The 27,276-nt window shown below is 59.2% G+C and overlaps 1 protein-coding gene across 3 annotated transcripts in view, besides 8 other annotated features; it reads right to left on the reverse strand.

Moving 5' to 3' along the window:
- The window catches only part of INTS1 (integrator complex subunit 1), a 34,113-nt gene extending 21,054 nt beyond the window's left edge, over window positions 1–13,059 (reverse strand). For all 3 annotated transcript variants that reach the window (NM_001080453.3, XM_011515260.2, XM_011515262.3), the window contains exons 1-16: window positions 12,993–13,059; window positions 12,573–12,671; window positions 11,571–11,861; window positions 8,840–9,036; window positions 8,554–8,691; window positions 8,143–8,302; window positions 7,925–8,030; window positions 7,645–7,831; window positions 7,377–7,522; window positions 7,082–7,223; window positions 5,808–5,984; window positions 4,826–4,934; window positions 4,103–4,223; window positions 3,486–3,563; window positions 2,424–2,581; window positions 1,680–1,776 (exon numbers count right to left, since the gene is read on the reverse strand). In NM_001080453.3, the coding sequence (NP_001073922.2) occupies window positions 1,680–1,776; window positions 2,424–2,581; window positions 3,486–3,563; window positions 4,103–4,223; window positions 4,826–4,934; window positions 5,808–5,984; window positions 7,082–7,223; window positions 7,377–7,522; window positions 7,645–7,831; window positions 7,925–8,030; window positions 8,143–8,302; window positions 8,554–8,691; window positions 8,840–9,036; window positions 11,571–11,861; window positions 12,573–12,630 (2,165 nt within the window). In that variant the 5' untranslated portion in view covers window positions 12,631–12,671; window positions 12,993–13,059. The remainder of the gene's footprint in view (window positions 1–1,679; window positions 1,777–2,423; window positions 2,582–3,485; window positions 3,564–4,102; window positions 4,224–4,825; window positions 4,935–5,807; window positions 5,985–7,081; window positions 7,224–7,376; window positions 7,523–7,644; window positions 7,832–7,924; window positions 8,031–8,142; window positions 8,303–8,553; window positions 8,692–8,839; window positions 9,037–11,570; window positions 11,862–12,572; window positions 12,672–12,992) is intronic.
- Window positions 2,437–2,937: an enhancer, noted in NCBI's record as "H3K4me1 hESC enhancer chr7:1533403-1533903 (GRCh37/hg19 assembly coordinates)". NCBI's record gives its function as "activates a minimal SCP1, AML or CMV promoter by ChIP-STARR-seq in naive H9 embryonic stem cells {active_cell/tissue: H9 hESC(naive)}" and the evidence as "EXISTENCE:reporter gene assay evidence [ECO:0000049][PMID:30033119]".
- Window positions 12,705–13,264: a silencer, noted in NCBI's record as "silent region_17854". NCBI's record gives its function as "represses an Ori minimal core promoter by ATAC-STARR-seq in GM12878 lymphoblastoid cells {active_cell/tissue: GM12878}" and the evidence as "EXISTENCE:reporter gene assay evidence [ECO:0000049][PMID:35858748]".
- Window positions 14,151–14,747: an enhancer, noted in NCBI's record as "H3K27ac-H3K4me1 hESC enhancer chr7:1545117-1545713 (GRCh37/hg19 assembly coordinates)". NCBI's record gives its function as "activates a minimal SCP1, AML or CMV promoter by ChIP-STARR-seq in naive H9 embryonic stem cells {active_cell/tissue: H9 hESC(naive)}" and the evidence as "EXISTENCE:reporter gene assay evidence [ECO:0000049][PMID:30033119]".
- Window positions 14,373–14,562: an enhancer, noted in NCBI's record as "active region_25490". NCBI's record gives its function as "activates an Ori minimal core promoter by ATAC-STARR-seq in GM12878 lymphoblastoid cells {active_cell/tissue: GM12878}" and the evidence as "EXISTENCE:reporter gene assay evidence [ECO:0000049][PMID:35858748]".
- Window positions 14,748–15,343: an enhancer, noted in NCBI's record as "H3K27ac-H3K4me1 hESC enhancer chr7:1545714-1546309 (GRCh37/hg19 assembly coordinates)". NCBI's record gives its function as "activates a minimal SCP1, AML or CMV promoter by ChIP-STARR-seq in primed H9 embryonic stem cells {active_cell/tissue: H9 hESC(primed)}" and the evidence as "EXISTENCE:reporter gene assay evidence [ECO:0000049][PMID:30033119]".
- Window positions 19,504–19,553: a silencer, noted in NCBI's record as "silent region_17855". NCBI's record gives its function as "represses an Ori minimal core promoter by ATAC-STARR-seq in GM12878 lymphoblastoid cells {active_cell/tissue: GM12878}" and the evidence as "EXISTENCE:reporter gene assay evidence [ECO:0000049][PMID:35858748]".
- Window positions 22,269–22,338: an enhancer, noted in NCBI's record as "active region_25491". NCBI's record gives its function as "activates an Ori minimal core promoter by ATAC-STARR-seq in GM12878 lymphoblastoid cells {active_cell/tissue: GM12878}" and the evidence as "EXISTENCE:reporter gene assay evidence [ECO:0000049][PMID:35858748]".
- Window positions 22,379–22,468: an enhancer, noted in NCBI's record as "active region_25492". NCBI's record gives its function as "activates an Ori minimal core promoter by ATAC-STARR-seq in GM12878 lymphoblastoid cells {active_cell/tissue: GM12878}" and the evidence as "EXISTENCE:reporter gene assay evidence [ECO:0000049][PMID:35858748]".

The following is a 27,276-nucleotide window of genomic DNA, read 5'->3' on the forward strand; positions in this document are numbered from 1 at the left end:
GAACCTCATCAGGGAAAGACAGGCTTTCAACAGCGGTGCCGGGACAGCTGGATGGCCACACACACAGGAATGAAGCCGGACCCCTGCCTCACACCATAAAAACTATGTCACAGTGGCTCAAACACCTGAAAGTAAGAGCTGGGACTATAAAACCCTTGACAGAAAACACAGAATTAAATCTCCACAACCCTGGACTAGGCGATAGTTTCTTAGACATGACACAAAAGCACAGAAACCAAACAAAAATAGATAAAAGTGGATTTGCTCAAAATTGAAAACTCCTGGCCAGGCGCGGTGTGGCTCATCACACCTGTAACCCCAACACTTTAGGAGGTCAAAGCAGGAGGACTGCTTGAGCCCAGAGGTTTGAAAACAGCCTGGGCAATAAAGTGAGGCCCCATCTCTGCAAACACTAAAATTAGCTGGGCATGGTGGCACGTGCCTATAGTCCCAGCTACACAGGAGGCCAAGGCGGGAGGACCGCTTGAGCCAGGGAGGTTGAGGCTGCAGTGAACCGTTGATTGTGCCACCGCACTCCAGCCTAGGTGACAGACAGAGCAAGACTCCGTTCCCCACAAAAAACGGAAAATGCAAACCGAAACAAACGTGAGATACCGTCTCACCCCAGCAGGATGTCTCTGCTGAGAAACACGGGCCATGAGTGCGGGTGAGGATGGAGACTAGGAACCGTCACTCAGCGCTGGCGGGGACGCAAGCGGGAACTCAAGGTGGGGCAGCCGCTGGGGAGGGTCTGACAGAGCCTCAGTTAAACACGTGGCCCAGCAACCCCACTCCTAGCCACCTGCTCAAGAGAACCGAAGACACGGCCACACAGATTTGTCCACACACGCTCACAGCAGCACCGTCCGTCAGCAGGGGAGCGGAAGCAGCAGACATGATCTCTGTCCACACAGTGGGGTGCCCTCAGCCACGAGGAGGACTTTGATACTGCCTCATGCTACAGCACAGGTGACCCCGGAAAGAGCATGCCCGGGGAAGGAGGCTGGTCACAAGATCATGCACTGTAGGATGCCATTTACAGAAAACACCCAAAAGGGCCGCTCTACAGAGGTGACGGCAGGTGAGCAGCTGCGTGGGCTGCGCTGGGAGGAATGAGGAGTGACAGCTGGTGGGAATGGGGTTCTCTTGGGGGAACCAAAGAAGGTTCTACAATTAAATTATAATGAAAGTTGTACAACCTGTGAACATTCTGAAAACATGGAATTGCACACTTTAGATAACACGTACATGAATTCTCTCTCGATAAAGCCGTGAATATATAGAGCATAAACTCGTTGTGTAAAAAATAACGCACACACGTTAAACACAGGAGAAAAAGGTATGACTGAGCTGGAGACACCGGGGAAGACAACGGGGAAACAGCCCACTCAAACCCAGGTAACGGTTGGACTCGGGCCGAGCCAGTCAAGGCCCGTAGTGGCCTCACTGGTCTCTGGGAACAGGCCATGAGCAGGCCCATGGGGAGTGGGGCGCGGGCTTACCCGGGCGGGAGTGGGGAGTGGGGAGCGGGGCGCGGGCTTACCCGGGCGGGAGTGGGGAGCGGGGCGCAGGCTTACCCGGGCGGGAGTGGGGAGCGGGGCGCGGGCTTACCCGGGTGGGAGTGGGGAGCGGGGCGCGGGCTTACCCGGGCGGGAGTGGGGAGCGGGGCGTGGGCTTACCCCGGTGGGAGCTGGATGTTTTCAGGGTGATGGTAGGTGCACAGATTCAGAACGGCGTCGATCAGCTGGGTCCTCCCCACCTTCAGCACCTCCACATCTAAGACCAAGAGCCACACATGGGTTCTGGGGCTGCTCACAGACCATCAGGCACAGGCAGCGAGGGAACCGGCCCTGCTCGGGCCGCGTCGGGGTGGGGTGGGGGATGCCGCAGGGTGGGGCGCAGGCCTGAGCAGGAGAGCTGGGGGAAGCTTGGCTTCTCACTGGGAAACAGGGCACTTTGCTCTCGGGGACACCTGGGCTGGGTCTAGAGAGCAGGCAGGGCTGCCAAGAGAGGGTAGGGAGGTGAGGACGGGGGTGTGGCCGGCAGGGTGGGGACCCGCAAGCCCTCGGGGCAGAGCCACGGACGAGGCGCGAGCTGGATTTACAATCATTCTACCTGTCGCCTAAAGGAGGTGACAGACAGGAAATCTGGCCGTGGCCAAATCACACCGAGAATGCCAATTCCAAAAAATGTGCAAATTCCAAAGAACGGGGCAGTGACTGCACCATTGCCAAATACACGCACGCTTCTGAATTCCCAACGGCAGATGTGGAGAAGGCAGGTCCCCGAGCCTCCCGGGGACCCAGGACCCAGCTGAAGCGCAGCTTTGTGGAGCGCCCCAGAGGTGCGTGCCAGAGCCGGGGTTTCTGCAGGGACGAGGGGAGCAGACCCAGCACAGGCGCCATCCCCTGCAGAAGCCATACCATCCGCCTGCACGGCAGCCGCCCGCTTCACCAGGTGGTCAGCAAGCTCCATGGCGTCCGCAGGCCCGAGCGGGAGCTCCCGGGACAGCCCGATGACCAGGATGCGCATCAGCGTGTCCTCCAAAATGGGCACCTCGGAGCACAGACGCAGGAAGAAGCTGCGGGGTGGGGGAGGCATGACTCGGTGTGGGCTGCCCACACCTGCCAGACCTGAGGGGCCGAGGACAGGCCAGCTTCTCCCTCAGAGCCCACGGGCTGGTGGCAGAGGGCTGCTGCTGCCTCCCACGAGCCTATCCCCTCCAACCTGAGCCTCCCTTTGCAGGACAGGAGCCCTGGCTCTAAGTCTCGCCTGGACAAGGGGAGAAGGGGAGGCTACCCCCACCCCAAGGCCTTTGGGGATACACACACAGTCACTGGTTCCTACAACCACCACACGGAGACTCTGCCACCCCACAGAGGCCTCTAGATGGTTCTTGCCCTCAAGGAGCTGGGGGCCAGGAGACAGAGATAACCCCTACACCTCCAAAGCCTGACCGGAAGGCCGCAGTGAAGGTGAACAGAGCGCCCAGGGCACGAGGTGGGGGCAGGGTGAACTGGCAGGAGCCCCAGGCGGGGCTGGAGGGGAGTGTAGACCAAGAACCCACGGGGTCACCCATGGGGCTTGAAGGGGGACAGAGCTGTGAGGCCAGCCGGCTGGGGAAGGACAGTGTGCGGCTGTCTGGACAGAAGCAGGGGCAGACGGTGCATCTGAGACTGCGTGAAGGGTGGCGTGCCCGTGGACGCCCTGGAAGCAACTGGAAGGCGGGGGTCCGGGGGAGGCTGCGGCTGGGGCTTGGAGTCACGTGGACGCAGACGGCAGCTGAATCCCTACAGTGGCGCTGGGACGCCAGCATGGGAGTGGGAGAAGGGTGGCACCCAGGATTGTGGAGGAGGAGCAGGATGGTGCTGTGACCATGGGAACAGCCGCCCAACTCCCACTGGCCCTTCCTGCCGCAGCCGGCCCGGCACCCCGCAGCCCCGCCCAGCCCGGCACACAGGAGCCCCAGGCGGCAGCGCACTCACTTGCGGTCACTCTCGGGTGGCCAGTTGTCCCACTTGTAGTAGGTCTCCGGCTGCTCTGTGAACAGCACCTTGTGCAGGCTGGGCAGGCAGAGAAGAGCCCTCAGTCATGATGTGGGTGCTCAGGGACCAGCCCCGTTAGTTCCAGGGAAGGGACCCCGCTCCCACGGGCCCCAGCGCTCAGAGGCCGGGCTGCCTGGTGCCCAAGCTCAGCACCTCCTCACAGCACCACCAAAGAACCCAGGGACCACTCACGGGGCTGCCAGGCTGCACAGCGGCCGAACGGGGCTGCCGGGCTGGACAGCCCTTTACAAAATCGCTGCAGAGAAATGCAGCCCCAGCCTGGCAGCCCCACCCCAACCAAGGCAGAGGCTCCACGGGAGGCTCCAATGCACAGGGTGACCTGCCTGGAGCCTAACGGCTGCTGCTGTCCGCAGAGAGGGGACAGACTCCCGTGTGGGGGCCTGGCTTGTCCCGGCTTAGTGGGGTGTGGGGCAGGGGCTGTGCGGGGCCTGGCTTGTCCTGGCTCAGTGGGGTTTGGGGCAGGGGTTGTGCGGGGCCCCGGCTTGTCCCGGCTCAGTGGGGTGTGGGACAGGGGCTGTACAGGGCCCCAGCCGCACCAGTGCACGTAGTCCTTAGGGGCGAGCTTGCTGATGGAGGGGACCACAGTGTGGAGCCACCAGACGGCATCCCGCTGGATGGCGGCAATCTGGTTCTGGAATGAGCGGAGCACTTCCAGGTCTGAAACAGACACGCAGCTTAGTGGCCCATCCGAGCCATGGGCCATGAGGGGCTAAGGCACCCCTGGGGGTCCAACTCAATGCTGGCACTTGGGAGGGGGTAACTCAGGGCACCCCCAGCTTCTGGACGATTCCCAGCTGGAATAACACCCTGGGAGGCATGGAGTGACCCTGACGCGTGCGTGGGTGACTGGAATCCTCCTGTTCCGAGTGACTCGCTCCGGTCAATGGCTTAGAGGGCTTCTGCGGCCCAGCCTTCCTGTGAACCCATAATCAAACACCCGGACTGCCCCAAACACCACCTCCCCTCCCCACTCCCGCCCGTGGCTGGGGCCACCACGCCTGCAATGCCCCCATGCTGGGCCAGAACTGGAGCACACAAAGGACGCTCATGGGAACAGGGTCTGAGCCTGCAGCTGGGGTGAGGCCCGGATGGACAGGAACGGGGACGGCAGCTTCCAGGCTCCGTGTCCCCGAGTAGCCGTGCTGCGGGACCGCTCCTGCCGGGCGCTCAGGGGACAGTGCAGCCTCGGAGAGCCGCCAGCCACCAGCCTGGACCCGAGACCCCCACCAAGCAGGGCCAGGCCACCCCCACATCCTTACTCCTCTTTTCTCCTTTGTCCCAGGCGATGCCGGCCTCCTTCACCTGCGCTGTGATGCCCAGCATCATGGACACGGCCAGGACGTCGGTGATGTGCACCACGAAGCGCTCCTGCAGGTGCAGCACGGGGTCTGTATCCAGAAGGGACACCCGGGAGCCCCACTCCACACCCACGTGGGCGCGGCACGGGGTCTGTATCCAGAAGGGACACCCGGGAGCCCCACTCCACACCCACGTGGGCGCGGCACGGGGTCTGTATCCAGAAGGGACACCCGGGAGCCCCACTCCACACCCACGTGGGCGCGGCACGGGGTCTGTATCCAGAAGGGACACCCGGGAGCCCCACTCCACAAACACGTGGGTGCAGCACGCACACACTTGCACATGCGCACACATACACACACACAAGCAGGGATCCAGAGAGAGAGCCCAGGACCAGTTGGGAGAGGGGCCTGACAGGAGGGGCACCAGGGCCGGTGGCCCACAAGGTCCTAGTCTGGCCACAGGAGGGAGGTTCAGTCAACAGAGATCCACAAAGCCCCGTCCGCAAAACAGGCCACCCCGGCAGGCTGGCTGCGAGTTGGCTGCAGGGACCTGGCATCTCTGTGATCCACCCTCACTGTGCCTTCCAGCGCCAGCTCCCTCCACAGCCCTCGAAAAGTCTCCAACCCAGCCAGGCAGCCCGCAGCCCCACCCTGCCTCCCTGCTCCCGTGCTCCCCTTGCTGCCGGCAGCAATTCATCCCATCCAGCCTAGGGGTTGCCAGTTCCCCTGTGCTTGGTCAGCCCCTCATAGGTCCTCACACAGGACAGAGCCTATGCTACCCTCTGGGACGCGTCACCGCAAACAGCCTCACTCATCCCCGTACCCACGCTCAGCCAGAGCATCCGAAGGGGTGGAGTGTGCATGGGACCCAGGACGAGGGGGATGGCGGCGCGTGGAACCCGCAGTGAGGGAAAGGCGCCCCAGCGGCGAGGGCTGGCACCTTGAACTCCATCTCCAGGTACTGCGGCTCCTTGCGCTCCTGCATGAGCCCCAGGCAGAAGGCCTGGAAGTTGATCTCGTGCTTGGTCTGCTTGATGATCTCCCGCAGCAGGGCCCGCGAGGCCCGCAGGTAGTCGTCCTTGTTGGTCAGCAGGTCCTGGAACACCATGGCCAGGAACTGGGGCAGAGAGAGGCCGCGTGGGAGGCTGCCCGACAGTGCTGTCCCTGTCACAGGCCCCTTCCCGCAGCACCAACAGGTATGGCGCCCGAGGGCGCTGCAGTGGGTCTCAGACAGTGTGGGGTGCGGGGTGGCGGGCTCCTTGCTCTACTGGCTGCCAGCCCTTGGCGAGCAGGGATCACATCTGATTCCCCTCTCTGAGAACCGGCAGGTGGGGAGTCGGTCCTCGTGAAATGAGGAGGATTAATTAACGGAAGCTGGGGGTGCGGGACACCAGGCGGCAAAGCCATAGAAGCGCGTGTGCCATCTCAGCCCACCCGTGCGCCACGGGCTGAACGGAAACCAAAGGCCACCACCCAAGATCTGAAAGGATCTGAAAGGACGCACTCCTGTCTCAAAATGCCAGGCCGCGAAGACTGAACGCGGAGCTGAGAGCGGCTGTGCCTCCCTCGTGTTTCACACTCCATAGAGCCCACCGGGAGGCCTAATGCGCTGGTGGCGATGGGAGCATCTCCCGAGCCCGCTTCAAAGGAGACACGGAAATCCAAGGGTCCTACAGCCAGGGCTACAGGGACCCCTGCTTAACCGAGGGACCCAATGCACAGGAGGCGGGTCTGGGCCAGGCACAGGGGCTCATGCCTGTCATCCCAGCACTTTGGGAGGTTGAGGCAGGAGGATCGCTTGAGCCCAGGAGTTTGAGACCAGCCTGGGCCACATAATAAGACCCGGTCTCCACAAAATTTTTAAAAACTACCTTACTATCCAAAGGCAGGAATGAGCTTGAAAAATAAAAACAGAAGGCAACAGGTCTGGGTCTTAGCTCAGAAACCTGGGTGGCTTTTAAGACTCAATGTGGCTCCCTCCTAAATGGACAGAGTGTCAGTTTCTGAGAAAGACGCTGGGCGCTGTGGCTGCACCCACTCTAGAAACGGCTCAACCTCATGCCCACGTGAGTTTCAAAAGCTCCTTCCCGAGACCGAGGAGCATTCTCCCACGAAGCACTGCCAATCCACCGGCCTCCCCAGACGCCACGTGCCCCTCCAGCCCAGAGCCCCATATTCCGGCGTGGAGGGCAAGGCCAGGGACCCTGGGCCTACCTTGGGCGCCAGCTCTGAGCTGTGCTGCAGTGCGGTATAGAGGACCTGCATGTTGTTCGGGTTCCGGGCGCTGGAGAGCTCATTGAAGATCACCAACTTGATGGTGGTGCCCAGGTTGTCCTTGTGCGCGCTCAGCAGCTCCCTGGGTGAGGTGAGGGTACAGACCCTGTCCCCGCTACGCCTGTGCCCCCACTCCGCCTGTGCCCCCACTCCGCCCGCACCCCCGCTCCGCCCACACCCCCACCCACACCCCCACTCCACCCGCACCCCCGCTCTGCCCCGGCTCGCCACGCACCTGATGCACAGCATGAAGTGGTTGAGGAGGACCTTGGGCTTGAGGCGGATCTTGATCAGGTGTGAGATGACGTCCATGTCTTCGGAACCGTGCGTGTTGCAGTTCATGCAGACGGACATCAGCAGGTCCTGGGCCGGCCGGGTCAGCTGCGGGGCCGAGGAGGGAGCAGTGGGCTCACGGCCACCCCGGCAGGAAGACCACGCTGTGGGGCCACACAGAGCCTGCCCCCACCCCCTGCCCCGCCCACCCCCCCGGGGCGCCCCCGCACCTTGGGGTTCTGCAGCCACATCTCCAGCTTCTGCACCGCCAGCAGCCGCACCTCCTTATAGCCGCAGGTGGAGGTGAGGAGCCGCAGGAGGTTCCTGGAGACGTTGTCGATGGGCTGGCGCCGGTTCAGCTGGTCCCGCAGCATGTCCAGGACATACTCCTCCACGCTCTCCGCGAGCTCTTCGTACCTAGGCCAGAGGAGGGAGCGAGGAGGGAGGAAGGTGGCCCCGAGGCGCCCGCCCCCGCCGCCCCCAACTGGGACCGGGCAGGCACGCAGCTACCTGGGCATGAGCTGGCCCTCCTGCTCGGGGCTCAGCTTCTCCTCCGCGATCAGCAACTCCGTCTGGCTGTCCTCCTCCTCCGTGAGGGAGGGGTGTGGGCTGCTCCCTGCAAACCAAGGAGAGGGCTCCATGCAGCGCCTCCCACCCGCCCATCCTCCCACCCCTCCCCTGCCCTGGGGCTTGGACACCCGCCCTCTCTGGCTGGCCGTGTGTCTCACCTGCACCCAGGTCGCCCGCAACGCGGCCCGCCTCCCCCTGCAGCAGCACGCTCCTGGGGGGCATTCTGGTGTTGAAGGCCGTCTGGATGTTGTCCACAAACGTCTTACAGTGAGGGCTGTCCACCCAGATCCGCTCCCCCAGGGAGTCCTCGATGTACACCTGTGTGGCAGCCACACCCTCAGCCCCGAGCCCAGCCGGGCAGCAGCCAGGTTGGGGAACACCCGCCTGCTGCCCGGGGACTGGGTGCCCAGGCGGCCCTCTCCAGCTTCTGGGTGCAGCAGGGACCGTGCCATCACCACCAGGGCTGTCAGACACAGCCCTCTGGAGAGAACACACTTCTGCTTTTCTCTCGCCCCTGCCCCACCCCGTGGCGCTCTGCCATCTTCACCGTCCCGGGAGAGGACGCTCACCTTGACAAAGATCTCGGGCCAGTTCTCGTCCTCCTCGTAGGCGGCCATGAGGAGGTTACAGGCCAGCACAGACACCAGGCTGTTCCCCTTGGCCTTGAAGTTGATGGAGGCGTCCCGCCGCAGGAGGCTACACAGAGCCTGCCAGGGAGGGCGCATGTCACGTGGGAGCTTCGCTGGCCCCAGAGGCAAAGCTGGGGTGGGCCGGGAGGGACACTTAAGGGGGAGGTGAGGAGGGGAGCCAAGGGCCCCAGCGCTGCTCGCCTCCTGCCAGGGGCCCGGCTCAAACCTCAATGACGCCCTCAGTGGCGAAGATGTTGGGCTTGATCTTGGCCAGGTACATGAGGCTCAGGTAGAGGGTGCTGTCAGGCTTGGCGCGGGTGACCTTCAGCTGCTTCACGGCCCCGCACAGCACGCCCTCGATCCTGTCATCGTTGCCCTCCAGCTCGGCCGCCTCGATCTCATCCAGCAGCACCGTGGGCAGCACTGGCCGGGGCAGGCGGTACGGTCAGAACGGGGCCAGGGCAGGGTCACCCCAAAGCCTCGGGACACCGGGAAGACCACGAGGAACCCAGAGCTCTCAGGGTCGGCCCTGCCAGGGACCAGCGATCCACCCTCAGCAAAGTTCCCACAGCGGACAAGCACCCCACCAGATGGTCCCCTTAATACAACAGGCTGCCCCACAGGCCTCAGCACTAGCCCACCAGCCACTCCAGTCCTGGCTCCGCTGTGTCCCACACGACTACCCCAAAGGCTACAGACATTTCCCAGCAAGCCAGGCCACCTGCAGCTTTACTTTCCACTGAATCGTGGCTCCGTCTGGCGGCTTCTTTCTCACTGTGGACCGCAGCACAGTGGCCCTCTCTCCGCACCCACCCCAGCTCCAGTCTCCAGCATGCCCTTCTTCCCACTTTTCCTCCCTCTTTCCATGGGTGCTCGGCTCACAACCTTCCTCCAGACGAGTGCCTGACCCTCCCACATCCTCTGAGGAGCACCAGGGCCAGCACACACCTTTCCTATCGTCGTGTTTGCCACTGTTGGATCGGAGGTTTTCTCATTTTCATTCTGATTCTTCTCTGTCCCAACAGTTTTTTAGGACTGTGTTTTTAAATATCCACAAACGGCCAGGTGCAGTGGCTAGCACCTGTAATCCCACCACTTTGGGAGGCTGAGGCAGGTGGATCACCTGAGGTCAGGAAATCGAGACCAGCCTGGCCAATACAGTGAAACCCTGTCTCTACTAGAAATACACAAATTAGCCAGGCGTGGTGGTGCATGCCTGTAATCCCAGCTGCTTGGGAGGCTAAGGCAGGAGAATCATGTGAACCCGGGAGGCGGAGGCTGAAGTGAGCCGAGATCGTGCCACTGCATTCCAGCCTGGGGAACACAGCGAGACTCTGTCTCAAAAAAAAATAAATAAATAAATAAATAATAAATAATAAGTAAATACATATCCACACACATGTGGACAGAGGCATTGTGATCTACCTTAACTGCGCCCGGGACAGAGACTTGGAATAAATTTCCTGATGCCGAGACAAGCTGGGGGACAAGTGGGCTGCCAGCATGGAGGGACAGCCTGGGACATTTACCACAAATGGCTGGATGCAGCCATCTCTCTGTTTTGCTGAGAATAATACTATAAAGTGATCTACCACTCAGAATACGCTTTTCATAACCACGTCTCCTCTCATCTTCAAAACCTCCTTTCTACAGGAGGTAGTGCTAAAGATAAATAAAGCACCGAGCCGCCGGCGGCCGAGAGCCCGGGCCAGGATGAGGCCTGTGGTCTCTGTCTTCAATCCCCACCGGCACCAGCTGCCCAGGGACACGCCTCATGGGAGGTCTGAGGCTCGACCTCCTAAAGCAGTCCCCCAGCTGTGCCATCCTGGGCCGTTTGCCCCCAGGGCTCCCTGATGCCAACTGAGTCCAGCACAAACACTGCCCACAGCGCCCAGCCTCAGCTCTCATGAGCGTGTGCTGCCCAGGCCAGGCCAGGCCTCCATTCCCTGGGCACAGTCCATTCTCTGCTTGGCATCTCCCTTTCCTGCCTGCCCCGGTTTCATCGCCTGTGCTTCCAGGCCCAAGCCCATACTGCAACTCCCTGCCAGGCCTCCTCCCTTCCAGGGCCGTCGGGGACTCACTCACAGGCTTGCACTGCAGCAGCCTGGTCCCTCCCTGAGGGCAAGGCCACAGCCCACAAGTCCCCTGGGTCCTGTCTGGCACAAAACTCAGTAACCAGAGGTGGCGCGGCTTGAACAGACACCTCACTACCAAAGTCATCAGGACACTTGTTCTTTTTGACTCCTACAAAGAAATTACCCAAAAGAGATGCTCCCACAGAAACAAAACACTGCAGACCATGAGGCTTGCTGGGGCTGGTGCGATAGCTGCCAGAGCGACTCCCAGGGAGTCACGGAGCCTTGAGAAATGGTCGTTGGGAAAATGGCGCAGAGGGGCAGGGGCGATTCTAGGCACACAGTTAAAGGCATTTCTGCGAGAACGGGACAGTGGTGAAGCTTACATTCCCCCGTTGATGTCCTTACTGTTCTGCTGCTTTTCAACTGAAAACAGGGAGGGGATCAACTCTTCTCTGTTGGTAACCAGGAGGGAAGGAGGAACCAAGTACACATCGCCTCCGCTCAGGTTGAGAGAGGAACGCACCAGGATGGGCAACCTTGAGAACAGACACCTGGGGTGTCGTCACGCCCGGTTTACCCCCAGGGCTCAGACAGTGCCCGTCACAAAGGGGGCGTCCAACAGACACATGAGACAAACAACTCAATAAGGGAGTGACCCGGTTCTCAAAGGGCAGCCACTGGCAGTGCAGGACGCAGATGCACACACGGGATAAGGGCATCTACGTGAGAAGCACTTCCAAGAACAAGCCACAAACATCCGCTCTCCCAAAGGACCTCGGCCATACGGGCAGCACTAGGCCTGGAGGGGGCCTTCCCTGAACACCTGATGGACGGCATGAGCTGAGGGGTGTTCTCGGGGGATGTCCACAGACTCATTACCTTCAATTGGCACCACAGATGGCTCTTTAATCGACGGAGAAATGGCTCGTTTTTCTGCCACTGCAGCCTCAGCCAGGCGCCCCAGGGCACTCAGAGGGGGTGTGGAGGAGAGTTTGGGGCGTTTGGTGAGACCGGTGAGGGCCGAGGCACTGGACAACGCGGCCGCCGCATCCCGCTTGCGCTCAGAAGGCAGGCCGGAAGGGGCTGGCTTCAGCAGGGTGGACGCCGTTTTCGATTCATTGGCCTGACCCTTTGAGCCCAGAGCAATGAAGTCTCCTGGGGGAGGGTGCCCTGCAGAGAAAGGAGAGAGAAAACCGGGCACATTTGCAACACCCAAGATGGAAAAAGACTGACTCTAACCTCCTGTTATGTCAGAGGGGATTAAACAAGGGTCAGAGGAGGCAAGGAAGAAGCCAGAGCTCACTCAGCAGCCTACAGCAGAGCTGGGACCAGCAGGATACGCACAGGTGATGGTGGACAGTCACGTAGCGCTAACCACAAACCAGGCCATCTCTGGTCTATCCAAATTAGTGTGCTTAGTAACCCCCGCCCCGAGTTTCCGCAATAGGTGCTATTACTCTAACTTTACAAGAGAGAAAGGGACACAGAGAGGTTAAGCGACGTGCCCAGCGTCACACAGCAGGCGAGTGGCAAAGTCCGGAGGATCTGAGCCGACAGTTCAGCCGCAGACCCCGTGCTACGCTACACTGTGCTGCCTCCCGCCTCCTGGCTGGGGAGACCTTCCGCTACTGTCGGCCGCCTTGCAGCTCAGCCTGAAACGAGATCACCGGGGTCCCGAAGGAAGTCGCCACTGTCCCAAGCCTCCCAGGGACTCTCAGAGCCGCTGAGGACCGAGAGCAGTGTTTCCAGACCGAATTCCTGGAAACAGCCGCGGCTGCGGAACAACCAAGCCCAACGCAGGATCCGCGGCAGCTGAGATCCCCAAAGACCCCCAAAGACCCCCAAAGACCCCCGGGCTGCAGAGCGAGGAGGGAGACGCACCTGAGGGTTTGGCCGCGGCGCTGGGCCGGCGCACCGTGGTGGGCTTGGCCCGGTTCATCCTGCCCCGTCCCTCGCGGCTCCCGGCGGCTGCGGCGTCACCTGCGGAGGAGCCAGCGTGCGGTCATTCCTTCACTCATTCGCTCGTTCGCTCGCTCATTCGCTCCCTTGCCGCACGGGGCTTGGGCCTGGGACCCGGGGACAGTGGTCCCGCGCCCGCCCGGCGGGGCGATGCTGCAGGAGCTGCAGGGACCCCGCCTCCCAGCCGCCCGGGAGCGGCTCAGTCGGGCGGCAGCAGGCGACGCGGACGCCGGGCTGGAGGCGGCAGAACCAGAAGGGACGGCCCAGAGGCCGGGAGCGGTAGCCGGGAGAACCAGGCGCTCGCCCGGCAATGAGGAAGCGCCCAGGCCGCGGCTCACTTACCTCTGGCCCATCGCGACCGGAGCGCCGCCGCCGCCACCCGGCCACCCCGGAATCGGAAACCGATCTCACCGCCCTCGAGGACCCGACTTCCGGAACAACCGGAAGGAAAACAGTGCGGCGGGAAGCGGGCCCAGAAGGAGGCGCGAGAGGCCCGCGGCGCCGGCCTGATGCCTGCAGCGCCCCATGGCGGCGGGAGGCGGGCTGGCCGGCGCCGCGCGCATGTGGTCCGGTCCAGGTGGGTCGGCGGCGCGGGGCAGGCGCTGGCCTCTCCATTCACAGGTGGTGCTGGCGTTGCGAAGGGACGCACTCCAGGACGCACGGCGGGGAGGAGTGGCGTCAGGGATCCGCGGATGAGTCAAGTGGCAGGTTCTGCACGTCCCGGAGAGCGGGGGCGGCCGGGGCGCAGGCACTGGCGAGGGGGCGCAGCCCGGGGGGCTCCCGGGGAGAGACCCTGTCTCAAATAATAATAATAATAATAATAATAGCTTTATTGAGATAGAACTCGTGTTCCACAAAGTTCACCCTTTTCTTTTTTCTTTTTTTTTTTGGCACGGAGTCTCGCTCTGTCGCCCAGGCTGGAATGCAGTGGCGCGACCTCGGCTTATTGCAACCTCCACCTCCCAGGTTCAAGCGATTCTCCTGCCTCAGTCTCCCGAGTAGCTGGGATTACAGGCGCCCGCCACCATGTCTGGCTAATTTTTTTGTGTTTTTAGTAGAGACGGGGTTTCACCATGTTGGCCAGGCTGGTCTCGAACTCCTGACCTCAGGTGGTCCGCCCGCCTTGGCCTCCCAAAGTGCTGGAATTACTGCGCCCGCCCCGCCCCCACGCCTTTTTTTTTTTTTTTTTAATGGAAACACTGATGGGAACAAAACTCAAAAGACACAAAAGATCATACAGTTGCCAGGTGTGATGCTCATGCCTGTAATCTCAGCACTTTGGGAGACCAAGGCAGGAGGATCGGTTGAGTTCGAGACCAGCCTGAGCAACATAGCAAGACCCCCATCTCTACAAAAAAATAAAAATTAGCTGGGCATGGTGGCATGAACCTCTAATCCCAGCCCTTTGGGAGGCCAAAGTGGGAGTCTGAGACCAGCCTGGGCAACATAGTGAGACCCTATCTCTACAAACAAAAATCAAGAATAAATTAGCCAGGCATGGTGGTGCATGCCTACGGTCCCAGCTACTGAGGAGGCTGAGGTAGGAGGATCTCTTCAGCTTGGGAGGTCAAGGCTGCAGTAAGCTATGATGGTGCCACTACGCTGCAGCCGGCCGACAGAGCGAGACCCTGTCTAAAAAAAAATAAAAATAAAAGGTGGGGGAATCATCCAGTCAAAGGGTCGAAGGTCTCCCCTGACCCCTGAGCAGCTGGTCCCCTCCCCTGGAGTCAGCCTGTGTTCTGATTTGTGCCTGTGTTCCCGGCTTTTCCGTGTGCGTTCAGGCAGCCACCCGTGTGCCTCCCTCTGCCTTGTCACCCTGCAGGTAGCGCACGGCTCCTCTTTTCTGCACCTGGCTTTTGCCACTTAACCACATCTTGGAGATCTGTTCCCAGCAGGGCACTGACTCGAACGCTGCCCCGCCACCGAGGGAGTCCTGAGCACCGCCTGCCCGGTGTGTCCCATCTCCTCATCCAGGGACCGCAAGGCAGAGCTGGTCTCCCTGTGCCCCTGAAGTTGGGTGTGGCCATTTGACTGTGGCCTCAGTGAGGCTCATGGCCCCAGGCTGCAGCCTGAGAACTGCTGTGTGACCCGCCACGGTCTCTTTCCACTCCTGTGGGCACCAGCTGGGTCCCCGCAGGACCCCAAGGGCTCCAGGGCCCTGCACCCTGCGCTGTGTGGGCAGCGAGTCCGGAAGGAGACGTCCGTGGTGCCCATGGGAGGAGAGGCCGGTCAGGCGCGGATCCCTGCCGGACGCCAGGCGGGGGCTGTGCGGCTTCATCCCTCTACAGTTTCTCAATCTGTCCCTCAGGGTAACTCTCTAAGGGGAGGGGAGATCCGATGGGGTAATGCTTCCTCCTCCTGTCACCTGAATGGGAGCACCCTGCACAGAGCTTCCTCTGCCCCGCCACCTGCCTCTCCTCATCCTCTGACCAGCATCACCGCCCCTGCATGCGGGGCCTGTGCCTTCGGCAAATGCCCTCACCCGGGCCCAGGCCAGAACCTCAGGGTCGACCTTGAGAACAACTACCTCCTCCTCCCCCTCCCCCTCCCCCTCCCCCTCCTCCTCCCCCTCCTCCCCTTCCTTCTTCTCCCCCTCCTCCCCCTCCCCCCTCCTCTCCTCCTCCCCCTCCCCCTCCCCTCCTTCCCCTCCCCCTCCTCCCCCTCCCCCCTCCCCTTCGTTCCCCTTCTTCTCCTCCTCCCCCTCCTCCCCTCCTCCCCCTCCTCCTCCTCCTCCTCCTCCTCCTCCTGTCAACCTTGACCACCTCTTCCCCCTTCTCTCTCCTCCTGCTCCTCGTCTTCCTCGTTCTCTAAAAACTCAGGAGTCAACCTTGACCACCTCCTCCTCCCTCTTCTCTTTCTCCTCCGTCTCCTTCCCCTCTTCCTCTTCCTCCCCCTCCTCTACCTCTTTGCCTTCCTCCTCCCTCTCCCCGCCTCTTTTTGAAAACAGCTTTTTTGAGTTATGATTGACGTCTGATAAACTGCAGGTGTGTAAAGGGTGTAAAGGGTGCACACTGATGCGTGTTGACATTCACACGTACCTGTGGCCCCATCCCCCATCCCTTTCAACCCTGTAACGAACATTCCCAAACCACCCCTGACTTGTCCCCAGGCCGCCAGGGCGCCACTTTCTGTCCCTGGAGAGGCGCTGTTTGCTCTTCTGGAGTCTGTGTGAATGAAAGCACACAGTGCACGCTCCCTGGCCAGCTGCTCGGCGTCATTATTCTTTTTTTTTTTTTGAGATGGAATCTCGTTCTGTCACCCAGGCTGGAGTGCAGTGGCGCGATCTCCGTTCACTGCAACCTCTGCCTCCTGGGTTCACGCCATTCTCCTGCCTCAGCCTCCCGAGTAGCTGGGACTACAGGCGCTGGCCACCACGCCCGGCTAATTTTTTTTTTTTTTTGTATTTTTAGTAGAGGCGGGATTTCACCGTGTTAGCCACAACGGTCTTGATCTCCTGACCTCGTGATCCTCCCGCCTCGGCTTCCCAAAGTGCTGGGATTACAGGCGTGAGCCACCGCGCCCGGCCTGGCATCATTATTCTGAGACTTACCCCAGCGTTGCAGGCATCGGTGGCTTCTGTCAGCTGCTGAGTAGCACCCGCCAGATGGATTCCAGATTCCAAGGATGGCTTCTCCACTGATGGCCCGGGCAGGACCACAGGCGTTCCGTCATCCTGGGGGGGTGTGCAGGGTCTGCCCTGTGCTCTTCATCGGCGTCTCCCTGATGAGTAATGATGAGCGTTTTCTCATCTTTTTTTGTCATCCGTGTATCTGCATTATTGGTGTCTGTTCAAATTGTTTGCTCACTTTTTGAAAATATTTTTTATGGCCAGGCGCGATGGCTCACGCCTGTAATCCCAGCACTTTGGGAAGCCGAGGCGGGTGGATCACCTGAGGTCAGGAGTTCAAGACCAGCCTGCCCAACATGGTGGAACCCGGTCTCTACAAAAATACAAAAATTAGCCGGGCATGGTAGCAGACACCTGTAATCCAGCTACTTGGGAGGCTGAGGCAGGAGAATCACTTGAACGTGGGAGGCGGAGGTTGCAGTGAACCAAGATCATGCCATTGCCCTCCAGCCTGGGCGACAAGAGTGAGACTCTGTCTCAAAAAAAAAAAAATTATTAGAAATTTAATTTTTAGGCCGGGTGCCGTGGCTTTTAATCCCAGCACTTTGGGAGGCTGAGGCAGGCGGATCACCTGAGATCAGGAGTTTGAGACCAGCTTGGCCAACATAGTAAACCCCATGTCTACTAAAAATACAAAAATTAGCCAGGCGTGGTGGCGGGTGCCTTTAGTCCCAGCTACTTGGGAGGCTGAGGCAGGAGAATCACTTGAACCCAGGAGGTGGAGGTGGCAGTGAGCCAAGATCGTACCACTGCACTCCAGTCTGGCCAACAGAGCGAGATTCCATCTCAAAAAAAACAAAAAAACAAAAAGATATAATCAAATGTTCCTCCCCTGCTCAGAATTCTCCAAAGACTCTGCTTATCACCCGAACAGTAAAATGAACACCTGTGGTTGTTTCCCACAGCAGCTCTTAACAAAGCACCACAGACTCGGTGGCTTAAAGCCACAGAAATGTCCTCTCTTGCAGTTCTGGAGCCCAGAAGTCTGAAGTCAAAGTGTGGGCAGGGCTGACTCCCTCGGAGGGCTCTAGGGGAGGACGCTGCCTACCTCGACCAGCTCCTGGGGACTCCAGGGGTCCTCGGCTCGTGGCCACATCCCTCCAGCCTCTGCCTCTGACTCCATGTGGCCGTCTTCTCTCTGTGTCTCTGTGCCTCGTGAGGACATCTGTTAAGGGATTTAGGGCCCACCCAGATCAAGGATGATCTCATCTCAAGATCTTTACCTTCATTAGGCCTGTGCGGTGGCTCACGCCTGTCATCCCAGCACTTGGGGAGGTTGAGGCGGGCGGATTGCTTGAGGTCAGGAGTTCGAGACCAGCCTGGCCAACATGGCGAAACCTTGCCTTTACTAAAAATAGAAAAAAATTATCCAAGGCCGGGCGCAGTGGCTCACACCTGTAATCCCAGCACTTTGGGAGGCTGAGGCGGGCGGATCACGAGGTCAGGAGATCGAGACCATCCTGGATAACACAGTGAAACCCCATCTCTACTAAAAATACAAAAAAATAGCCGGGCGTGGTGGCAGGTGCCTGTAGTCCCAGCTACTCCGGAGGCTGAGGCACGAGAATCACTTGAACCTGAGAGATGGAGGCTGCAGCGAGCCAAGATCGCACCATTGCACTCCAGCCTAGGCGACAGAGCAAGACTCCATCTCAAAAAAAATAAAATAAAAAAATAAGTTTATATCTGCAAAGACCTTGTTTGCAAATAAGCTCCCATCCTGTGGCTCCGGTGGACGTGGGCTATGGGGCCACTGTTCGCCCCGTCCCAGCCCCACGCCGAGGACTGCCGGGTCCTGCAGGGTCTACATCTCCGTCTCACCTCCCCCGATGCCGCCCCACCCCGCACCTCAGCCTTCTCACTGTTTCCGGAAGGTGCCTGCCTTTCCATGCGCTGTTTCCTGTGCCCAGAAACCCCCCAGCTGGTCCTGGGACTCCCTGTCCACCCCATTCTGGTCTTTGCTCAAGTGGCCTCCTTCTCTGGTCAGTCACTGATGCCCCAGTCCCCTGCACCTGGATGTCACCTTCATGTCTTTTTTTTTTTTTTTTTTTTTTGAGACGGAGTCTCACTCTGCCACCCAGGCTGGAGTGCAGTGGTTCAATCTCAGACCACTGCAACCTCCGCCTCTGGGGTTCAAGCGATTCTCCTGCCTCAGCCTCCCAAGTAGCTGGGATTACAGGCACCTGCCACCACGCCTGGCTTTTTTTTTTTTTTTTCTGAGAGTCTTGCTCTGTCGCCCAGGCTGGAGTGCAGTGGTGTGATCTCTGCCCATTGCAACCTCCACCTCCTGGGTTCAAGCAATTCTGCCTCAGCCCCCATCAGGAGCTGGGATTGCAGGCGCCTGCCACCATGCCCAGCTAATTTTTGTATTTTTAGTAGACATGGGGTTTCACCATGCTGGCCAGGCTGGTCTCAAACCCCTGACCTCAGGTGATCTGCCTGCCTCGGCCTCCCAAAGTGCTGGGATTACAGGCGTGAGCCACCACGTTCAGCCACATCCAGCTAATTTTTATATTTTTAGTAGAGATGGGGTTTTGCCATGTTGGCCAGGCTGGTCTTGAACTCTTGACCTCCGGTGATCCACCCACCTCGACCTCCCAAAGTGCTGGGATTATAGGCATGAGCCACCGCGCCTGGCCCTTCCTTCATGTCTTTTAAAAAAATGTTTTAGAAACGGGGTCTTGCTCTGTTACCCAGCTGGAATGCAGTGGTGTGATCATGGTTTACTGCAGCCTCAAATTCCTGGGCTCAAGCGATCCTCCTGCCTCAGCCTCCCAAGTAGCTGGGACCACAGGTGCACGCCCACCCCTGGCTGGTCTTTTCCCTGCCTTCCTGCCTGACAGAGCCACCAGCAGAGCCTGATCTGCCCAGTCCCCTGCTGGGTCCAGGGTGGCTCGCCATGTTCAGTGAGAGCCCGTGGACAGGTAAGTGATAACTGTGAATTCTCTGGGGGGAGGAAGCCAGTGCTAAAAGCCTAGGCTGTTAGGAGAGCTGGGCCTCAGCCTGGAGGGACGCCGTCGGGCAGGCAAGCCCAAGCCTCTGACTCCCACCATCCCGGGGTCCTCTTTGCTGTGACCCCAGAGTGCAGTGAGTACCAAAGGTGACCCTGTCCTAGCAGGACCCAACCTCGTGACCTGATCAGTGTGGCAGGTTTGGGCTCCAGGGCACCACTGCGGCCCCCCAAGACCCACCAGCACCAGGGGCTGGGGGCGGCTGGCAGGGTGGGGGCAGGGGGAGCAGAGGCCCGGGTCGGGCCCGAGGGGAGACGGGTGCGGTGGGCAGCCTGCAGCTGCGTGTGGTTTAACTGCCTCGTGCCAGGAAGCAGCTGCCGCTCTCTGTGCAGCCTGGGCCTAGACCGGGGGCTCCAGCCTCCCTTCCTGGACCAAGCGTACCCAGCGCAGACCAGGCCTGGCCTTCCCGTTACACACAGGGGCCCTTGTGGGGAACCTGCGGCTCTTCTCAAGTGACCCCCATCCTGGGGGCCCAGCCCCGGCTCCTCCCTGAACCTCCCTGAAGCCTTCCTTCCCCATCCACCCCCAGGCTAGCCCCTGCTAGGAACCTGGGCGCCCACTTTCTCTACCACCCCCTGGCTGGAACCCCAACCTTGTATGGGGCTCCCATAGGGTGCAGCCCCAAAGACAGACCCACGTCCAGAATTCCAGGTATCCCAAGGACCGGTCAGGCCACTGGCCACTACACTGAGACTCGGGACAGCTGGCCAACCTGGTGAGAGCTCAGCCTTCACTGGCCACCGCACTGAGACTCAGGATGGCTGGTTTCCTCGGGGAGAGCTCAGACCTCGCTGGGCACCACATTGAAACTCAGGACGGCTGGTCTACTGGGGAGAGCTTGGACCTCGCTGACCACTGTGCCGTGACTCAGGGTACCTGGTCTACCGGGGAAGAGCTCAGACCCTTTGGCTTCAAAGAGCGGGGGCCAGTCCCGGTTCCACCCCCAGGCTGCACAGGAGAGAGGTGAACCAACAAAGAGAATCGGGAGCCGTGAGGAAGGGGAAGGACTCTGGGAGGCCCATACCCCCAACATGTCTCCTGTGACCTGCTTCGGATCTCAGGCCCTCCCCACTTCTCTCCTCCCGCAGTGAAAACCACCCCTGCTGGGTCTGCCCGCCTGTCCTCTGGGCCCACCCCTCAAACCTCCGGCTTCCATTGCCCCTTCCCCAGATTGTGCACTCACGGCCCCTTCTTTGTGGGCTCCCTCCCAGGGCCCCTCAGGCCAGCTCCAGGGTCTCCTATAACACAAACATGCCCCTCTCTGCCTCAGTTTCCTTCCCGGGTCCAAGCCCCCGGCCTCCCCACTTTGAGTCCCAGAGCCCCAAGCTTTGTCTCCACAACTCCACTTCCCCGCCGTCCACACGCCTCTCCACTCGCTCCAGCGCCAGGCGCTTCCCTGAAACAGGCGCCGCTCTGAGGACCTCAGTGGCTCCCCCCGGAGTGCCCGGTCCTGTGGCCACACAGAGCACCAGTGCTTTGTGCCTTTGGTCTCCGTGACATGGCGGTCCTGATTCTCTTTTTTTAAATTTAGAGACAGGCTCTGACTCTGTTGCCCAGGCTGGAGTGCAGTGGGATGATCACAGCTCACTGCAGCCTTGACCTCCTGGGCTCACGTGATCCTCCCACCCCCACCTCCTGAGCCACTAGAACTACAGGCGTGTACCACCATGCCTGGCTAATCTTTGTATTTTTTGGTAGAGTCAACGTCTCACTATGTTGCCCAGGCTGGTCTTGAACTCCTGGGCTTAAGCGATCCACCTGCCTTGGCCTCCCAAAGTGCTGGGATTACAGGAGTGAGCCACCGCACCCAGCCCAAGTGCCATTTCTGTTTTTTTGAGACAGGGTCTCACCCTGTCGCCCAGGCTGGAGTGCAGTGGTGCAATCTCGGCTCACCGCAACCTCTGCCTCCTGGGTTTAAACGATTCTCCCACCTCAACCTCCCGAGTAGCTGGGACTACAGGCGCGCACCACCACGCCCGGCTAATTTTTGTGATTTTAGTAGAGGTGGGGTTTCACCATATTGGCCAGGCTGGTCTCAAACTCCTGGCCTCAAGTGATTCACCAGCCTCGGCCTCCCAAAGTGCTGAGATTACAGGCGTGAGCCACCACGCCTGGCCTCATTCTTTACAGGGAAACTGGGGAGGAGGGAGGGCTGGGGCAGGAAGAAGCCAGGCTAAGGGGTACTTCTGTTGAAGCCTCCACCTGACCAGGAACTCTCTCCTGCCTGAGGCTGGGGGCTGCCCTGGGAGCATGCATCAGGCACTGGCAGGGTGGTGCCCCCCAGCCCAGGCTGTTCTGTGGAGAAGAGGCAGCCAGCGGCTGTTCACCATCGCGGGCTGCAGCTGCTGGGCCCGTGCGCCACCTGCACGGGGAAGCCACACGCCCACAGTATCCGCTGTAGGCACCTTTTTTTTTTTTTTTTTTTACATTTTGCAAGTGAGGAAATTTAGAGAACTATGGGGAACGGCTCTGCCCCACACCCAGGATGGGGTCTGGCCTCCAGGGCCTCAGGCCATGTGGCACAAAAGGCCCGGGGAGATGTATGTGGTGTTGAGTTCTGCTGGCCGGCTCACTGGCTGTGCGGTGTTGGGCAGGTTTCCTCTCTGGGCCTCAGTTCCCCCACCTGGAAAATGGGTGCGGCAGACGTCCCGCTCTCCTGGGCTGCTGAGGGGCCTCAGTGAGAAGCGGCCCTGACCCTGGTCCAGGACCCGGGCGCACGGCTGGGCAGGCGGCTGCCACGGTCACTGGAAGTGGGCGCTCAGGGCCAGGGATTGAGAGATTCCGCGTTCCTCTGAATGACAAGTGGCCACAGGGTGCCTAGGGGGCTGGCCGTCTCCCAACCACCCTGCCCACTAAATTTAGAAACTGCCTCATGCACACTGGAAGCTCCTCAGCGCGGTGACGAGTGTCAAAGCCGTGAGTCAGCAGTTATGAGGGCGTCGATGCCCGTGGGGCAGCTCGGAGCCCATCAACGCACCAGTGGAGGTTTTGTTCTCTGCTAAACAACAATCTTATATGGAGGTTTTGCGCTGGATTCTGCCAAGAAGGTGCCCTGCAGCAGGACCCCCTGGCAGCTCAGGAGGTCGCAGGTGGCCCCTCGTGGGCTGGTGCCCAGCCAGACTGGTGCCCTTGTGGCCCGGGCCTGAAGCAGCCCTTTTGGGGCTGATATTCAAGAACCCACCGGGCAGCGAGCCTCCTAACATGCAGACCCCCGCCAGCAAGCAGAAGCTCCGGGGGAGTTGAGTGGGGGAGCAGCTTCTGGCTGGAGACTAGGAAGTGCTTTCCAACAATTGTCTGAAAATAGAACGGCCGGCTCACGAGGAAATGAGTCCCCATCACGGGGAGCGGGAGGCGGGAGCAGGAAGACTGTGGCGCAGGGAGGGGGCCCGTGGCCTCTGACCCCGAGAGACCTGAGTCCTTCCGTTCCTCACCCCTGACATCCCAGACATCCAGGAAAACGCGGCCTAGAAAGCCGCCCTGGGATCATGAGGTCAGGAGATCAAGACCATCCTAGCCAACATGGTGAAACCTCGTCTCTACTAAAATACAAAATAAAATTAAAAAATAAGCTAGGCGTGGTGGCGCGCACCTGTAGTCCTAGCTACGCCGGAGGCCGGAGGCGGAGGCAGGGGAATTGCTTGAACCCAGAGGGTGGAGGTTGCAGTGAGCTGAAATCACGCCATTGTACTCCAGCCTGGGCGACAGAGCGAGACTCCGTCTCAAAAAAAAAAAAAAAAAAAAGAAGGCTGCCCTGGGCTGCAGGTGCCTGCTCTCAAATTCACTGCCAGGAGGAAAGGTGGGTGCTGGTGACAGGACAGCCTCCCAGGCTGGATGTGCTGGGCAAAGAACTGGCCGGGCAGGGAGACACTGCGGTCCCATCTGGAACCTACGCTCTTCTCAGCAGGGCACCCCTTCTCTAAGCCTCAGTTTCCCTTTCTGTTCAGTGAGAGGCAAGCTGCTCTGATGTCCCGGGATTCCGCAGCCCCCACTCTGAAGACCCTCACACGGAGCTCCCACCCCTCCAGGATCCAGGCTTGCCGCTGCGTTTGGCCAGGCCCATGGCGGAGTTCAGGCTGCCGACCTATGGGCTCCAGGGGCGGGAATAAACGCACTCAGCCTTTTTCTAACTGTGGCTTAGAAAAGTTTTCTGGCTGTGGTTTCCCCATCTTCAAAAAGTCATGAATGCCAGGCACAGTGGCTCACATCTGTCATCCCAGCACTTTGGGAGGCCGAGGCAGGAGGATCCCTTGAGCCCAGGAGTTTGAGACCAGCCTGGGCAACATGGCAAAACCCCATCTCTGCCAATAATAATAATAATAATAATAGTAATACAAAAATTAGCTGGGTGTGGTGGTGTGCACCTCTAGTCTCCACTACTAGGGGGCTGAGGTGGGCGGATTGCTTGAGCCTGGAAGGTCCAGGCTGCAGTGAGTTGAGGTTGCACCACTGCACTCCAGCCTGGGCAACAGAGTGAGATCCTGTCTCCAAAAGAGAAGGAAAAGAAAGAAAAATCATGACGATGCAGAATACTCTTGTCAATCACGAAGTGCAGGGCAGATTGAAGCTGGGTGCTCTTGGAGTGTGGGGAGGGGCCAGGAACCCCTGCTGGGCTCAGCGACACAGAACCCCCTGGGTTCTGGGGAATGCAGTTTGAGAACCAGTGCAGTGGTGGGAAGGAACTGAGGAGCAGGGACTGGCACAGGCCCAGCCAGCTTCTCACCCACATTCCAACTGTCTCCCTGGAGAGGCTGAGGCCCTGGAGGGGCATTTAGTTGTTTTTTTTTTTGGTGTTTTTTTTTAATATAAATTTTTTTTTTTGAGGTGGAGTCTTGCTCTTATCGCCCAGGCTGGAGTGTGGTGATGCTCAGCTCACTGCAACCTCTGCCTCCCAGGTTCAAGCGTATCTCCTGCCTCAGCCTTCCAAGTAGCTGGGATTACAGGCACGCGCCACCACGCCCAGCTAATTTTTGCATTTTTAGTAGAGACGGGGGTTTCACCGTGATGGCCAGGCTGGTCTCGAACTCCTGACCTCAAGTGATCTGCCCGCCTCGGCCTCCCAAAGTGTGGGGATTACAGGCGTGAGCCGGCCTAGGCTCTTTGTTTGTTTGTCTTTGTGGTGATGGACGCTTCTGGGGGCACCTTGTGACTGGTGAGCAATGGTGGAGAGGAGGGCAGAGGTCAAGGGCGTGGGCTGGGAGAGCTGAAGGTCAGAGCCAGCATACGGTGGGGCTGTGTGGGGAGGCTCCCTTCTGCGGTGCAGAGCGCTTCTCCTGGAGGGCATAGACCGAGAACCTGAGCTCCAGCCCCTCTGCCCCTGCCTCCTTCCCTCTCCCTTCCTAGGCTGGGAGGAGCGAGGTGGGCAGGCACCTGAGCTAGGACCTTATGCTGCTGGCCCTGTCCAGGGCAGTCCTGATTTTTTACCTTGTGTCCCACTGTCCCCATAAACCATCGAAATCTCCCCGACACTGCTGGGGATTGTACAGGGGATTGTTCACATTTTCTGCAATGAGCCGATACATTATGTTGGAAAGGAGAAAAATAACCTCATGAACTTTCCTTTTATTTTTATTTTTTATTTATTTATTTATTTATTTTTGAGATGGAGTCTCGCTCTGTCACCCAGGCTGGAGTGCAGTGGCGCAATCTCCGCTCACTGCAGGCTCCGCCTCCCGGGTTCCAGCAATCCTCCGACCTCAGTCTCCTGAGTAGCTGGGATTACAGGCGCCCGCCACCACGCCCGGCTAATTTTTGTATTTTTAGTAGAGACGGGGTTTCACCGTGTTAGCCAGGATGGTCTCGATCTGACCTCATGATCCACCCGCTTCAGCCTCCCAAAGTGCTGGGGTTACAGGCGTGAGCCACCGCGCCCGGCCGAACTTTCCTTTAAAAAAACAAAAAAAAAAAAGCCAATACATGTCCCAGGGATTCCAACCCATGTCCTATCGCAGTTCCCAGATGGCATTTCTTTCACTGAGTCGTGCCACAACAAACTCACACCAGATCATGCGTCCTGACTTTTGGCTCAGACATTACAGTCAGGGACAGAGCTTCCCAGGTTGGGTTGGTGCAGTGTGACATTCCCGGGCTGGGGAACCACCAGCATAGGGAGAAGAGGGTGGACTCTCCAGGAGTCCTGACTCCAAGTGCAAATCAGCATTTGTCATCCTGAGGGTTATTTACAGTGGCCATTCGCCATGACCTCTCACGGTTCCGGCTTGACTGGGTGAGCAGAGGGATCTTACCCGGGGGCTTCTGTCCTGCAGGTGCAGACGACACGGCTGGGGCTGGTGCATCTCACCGGCTTCCCGCCTCAGCCTTCCTGCTTAATGCCGGCTACAGGCTGGGACCTGACAAGGAGGGTCTACAGATGGCATGAATGTCCTTACCACATGGTGCTCTTGCTTCCAAGGGGAAGAGGCCCTGGGGACAGTGAGCCATATTTCCGTATAACACAGCATAATAAAAAATACAGGCTGGGTGCAGTGGCTCACACCTGTAATCCCAGCACTCTGGGAGGCCAAGGCGGGAGGATCACGAGGTCAGGAGTTTGAGACCAGGCTGGCCAACATATTGAAACCCCGTCTCTACTAAAAATAGAAAAATTAGCCGGGTGTGGTGGCGGGCATCTATAGTCCCAGCTACTCGGGAGGCTGAGACAGGAGAATCGCCTGAACCCCAGAGTCAGAGGTTGCAGTGAGCCAAGATAATGCCATTGCACTCCAGCCTAGGTGACAGTGAGACACTGTCTCAAAAAAAAAAAAAAAAACCAAAAATAAAAACAAAACAAAAAATGAGCGAGGTGCAGTGGGTCGCACCTGTAACCCCAGCATTTTGGGAGGCTGAGGCAGGGGAATCACTTGAGCCCAGGAGTTTGAGGCCAGCCTGGGTAGCATAGCAAGACCCCATCTCTATTAAAAAATGTATATCCTTATAGATAGATAAGGTTTTTGTTCTGGGTTCCTGGCACCAGGAATTTCCTGAGTGGCAGGAGTGTCTTTTGTTATAACAAGCCACCTATCTGAGTTTCTGCTAATGAGGTGGCTTAGGGTGAAGTCACAGATAGCTCCAGGACAGGGGCTGGTCCCCAGAGGAACCAATCGTATGATTATTGTTCTTATTTTAAATAGAGACAGGGTCTGGCTTTGTCGCCCAGGCTGCGTAATCATGGCTCACTGCAGCCTCGAACTCCTCAGCTCAAGAAAAGCACGTTCCCGTCTCGGCCTCCCAAGTAGCTGGGACCACAGGTGCACACCACCACACTTCCCTGGTTTTGTTTTGTTTTTGAGATGGAGTTTCGCTCTTGTCGCCCAGGCTGGAGTGCAGTGGCGTAATCTCGGCTCACTGCAACCTCCACCACCCGGGTTCAAGAGATTCTCCTGCCTCAGCCTCCTGAGTAGCTGGGATTACAGGCACCCGCCACCACGCCCGGCTAATTTGTGTATGTTTAGTAGAGATGGGGTGTCACCATGTTGGCCAGGCTGGTCTCGAACTCCTGACCTCAGGAGATCCACCTGCCTTGGCCTCCCAAAGTGCTTGGATTACAGGCATGAGCCACTGTGCCCAGCCCCTGATTTATTTATTTTTTTTGGTAGAGATGGAGTCTTGCTAGGTCGCCTTGGCTGGTCTTGAACTCCTGGCCTGAAGCAATCCTCCTGCCTGGGCCTGCCAAAGTGCTGGGATTGCAGGTGAGAGCCACTGTACCCGGTCGCCATGTGATTACTGAGTTGGAACCTTCACTCCACTCCACCTACCCACTCCCGAACTCCAGGGATGGGGAGCTGAAGATAGGGTTAAATCACAACGGCCAGTGGTTTAACCAAGCATGCGTATGTCATGAGACCTGGATACTGAACTCAGAACCACAGGGCTCAGGGAGTTTCTTTTCTCTTTTCTTTTCTTTTCTTTTTTTTTTTTTGAGACAGAGTCTCACTCTGTCACCGAGGCTGGAGTGCAGTGGTGGGATCTCAGCTCACTGCAACCTCTGCCA

The sequence above is a fragment of the Homo sapiens genome, chromosome 7 (genome assembly GCF_000001405.40).
Source record: "Homo sapiens chromosome 7, GRCh38.p14 Primary Assembly".
NCBI lineage: Eukaryota > Metazoa > Chordata > Mammalia > Primates > Hominidae > Homo > Homo sapiens.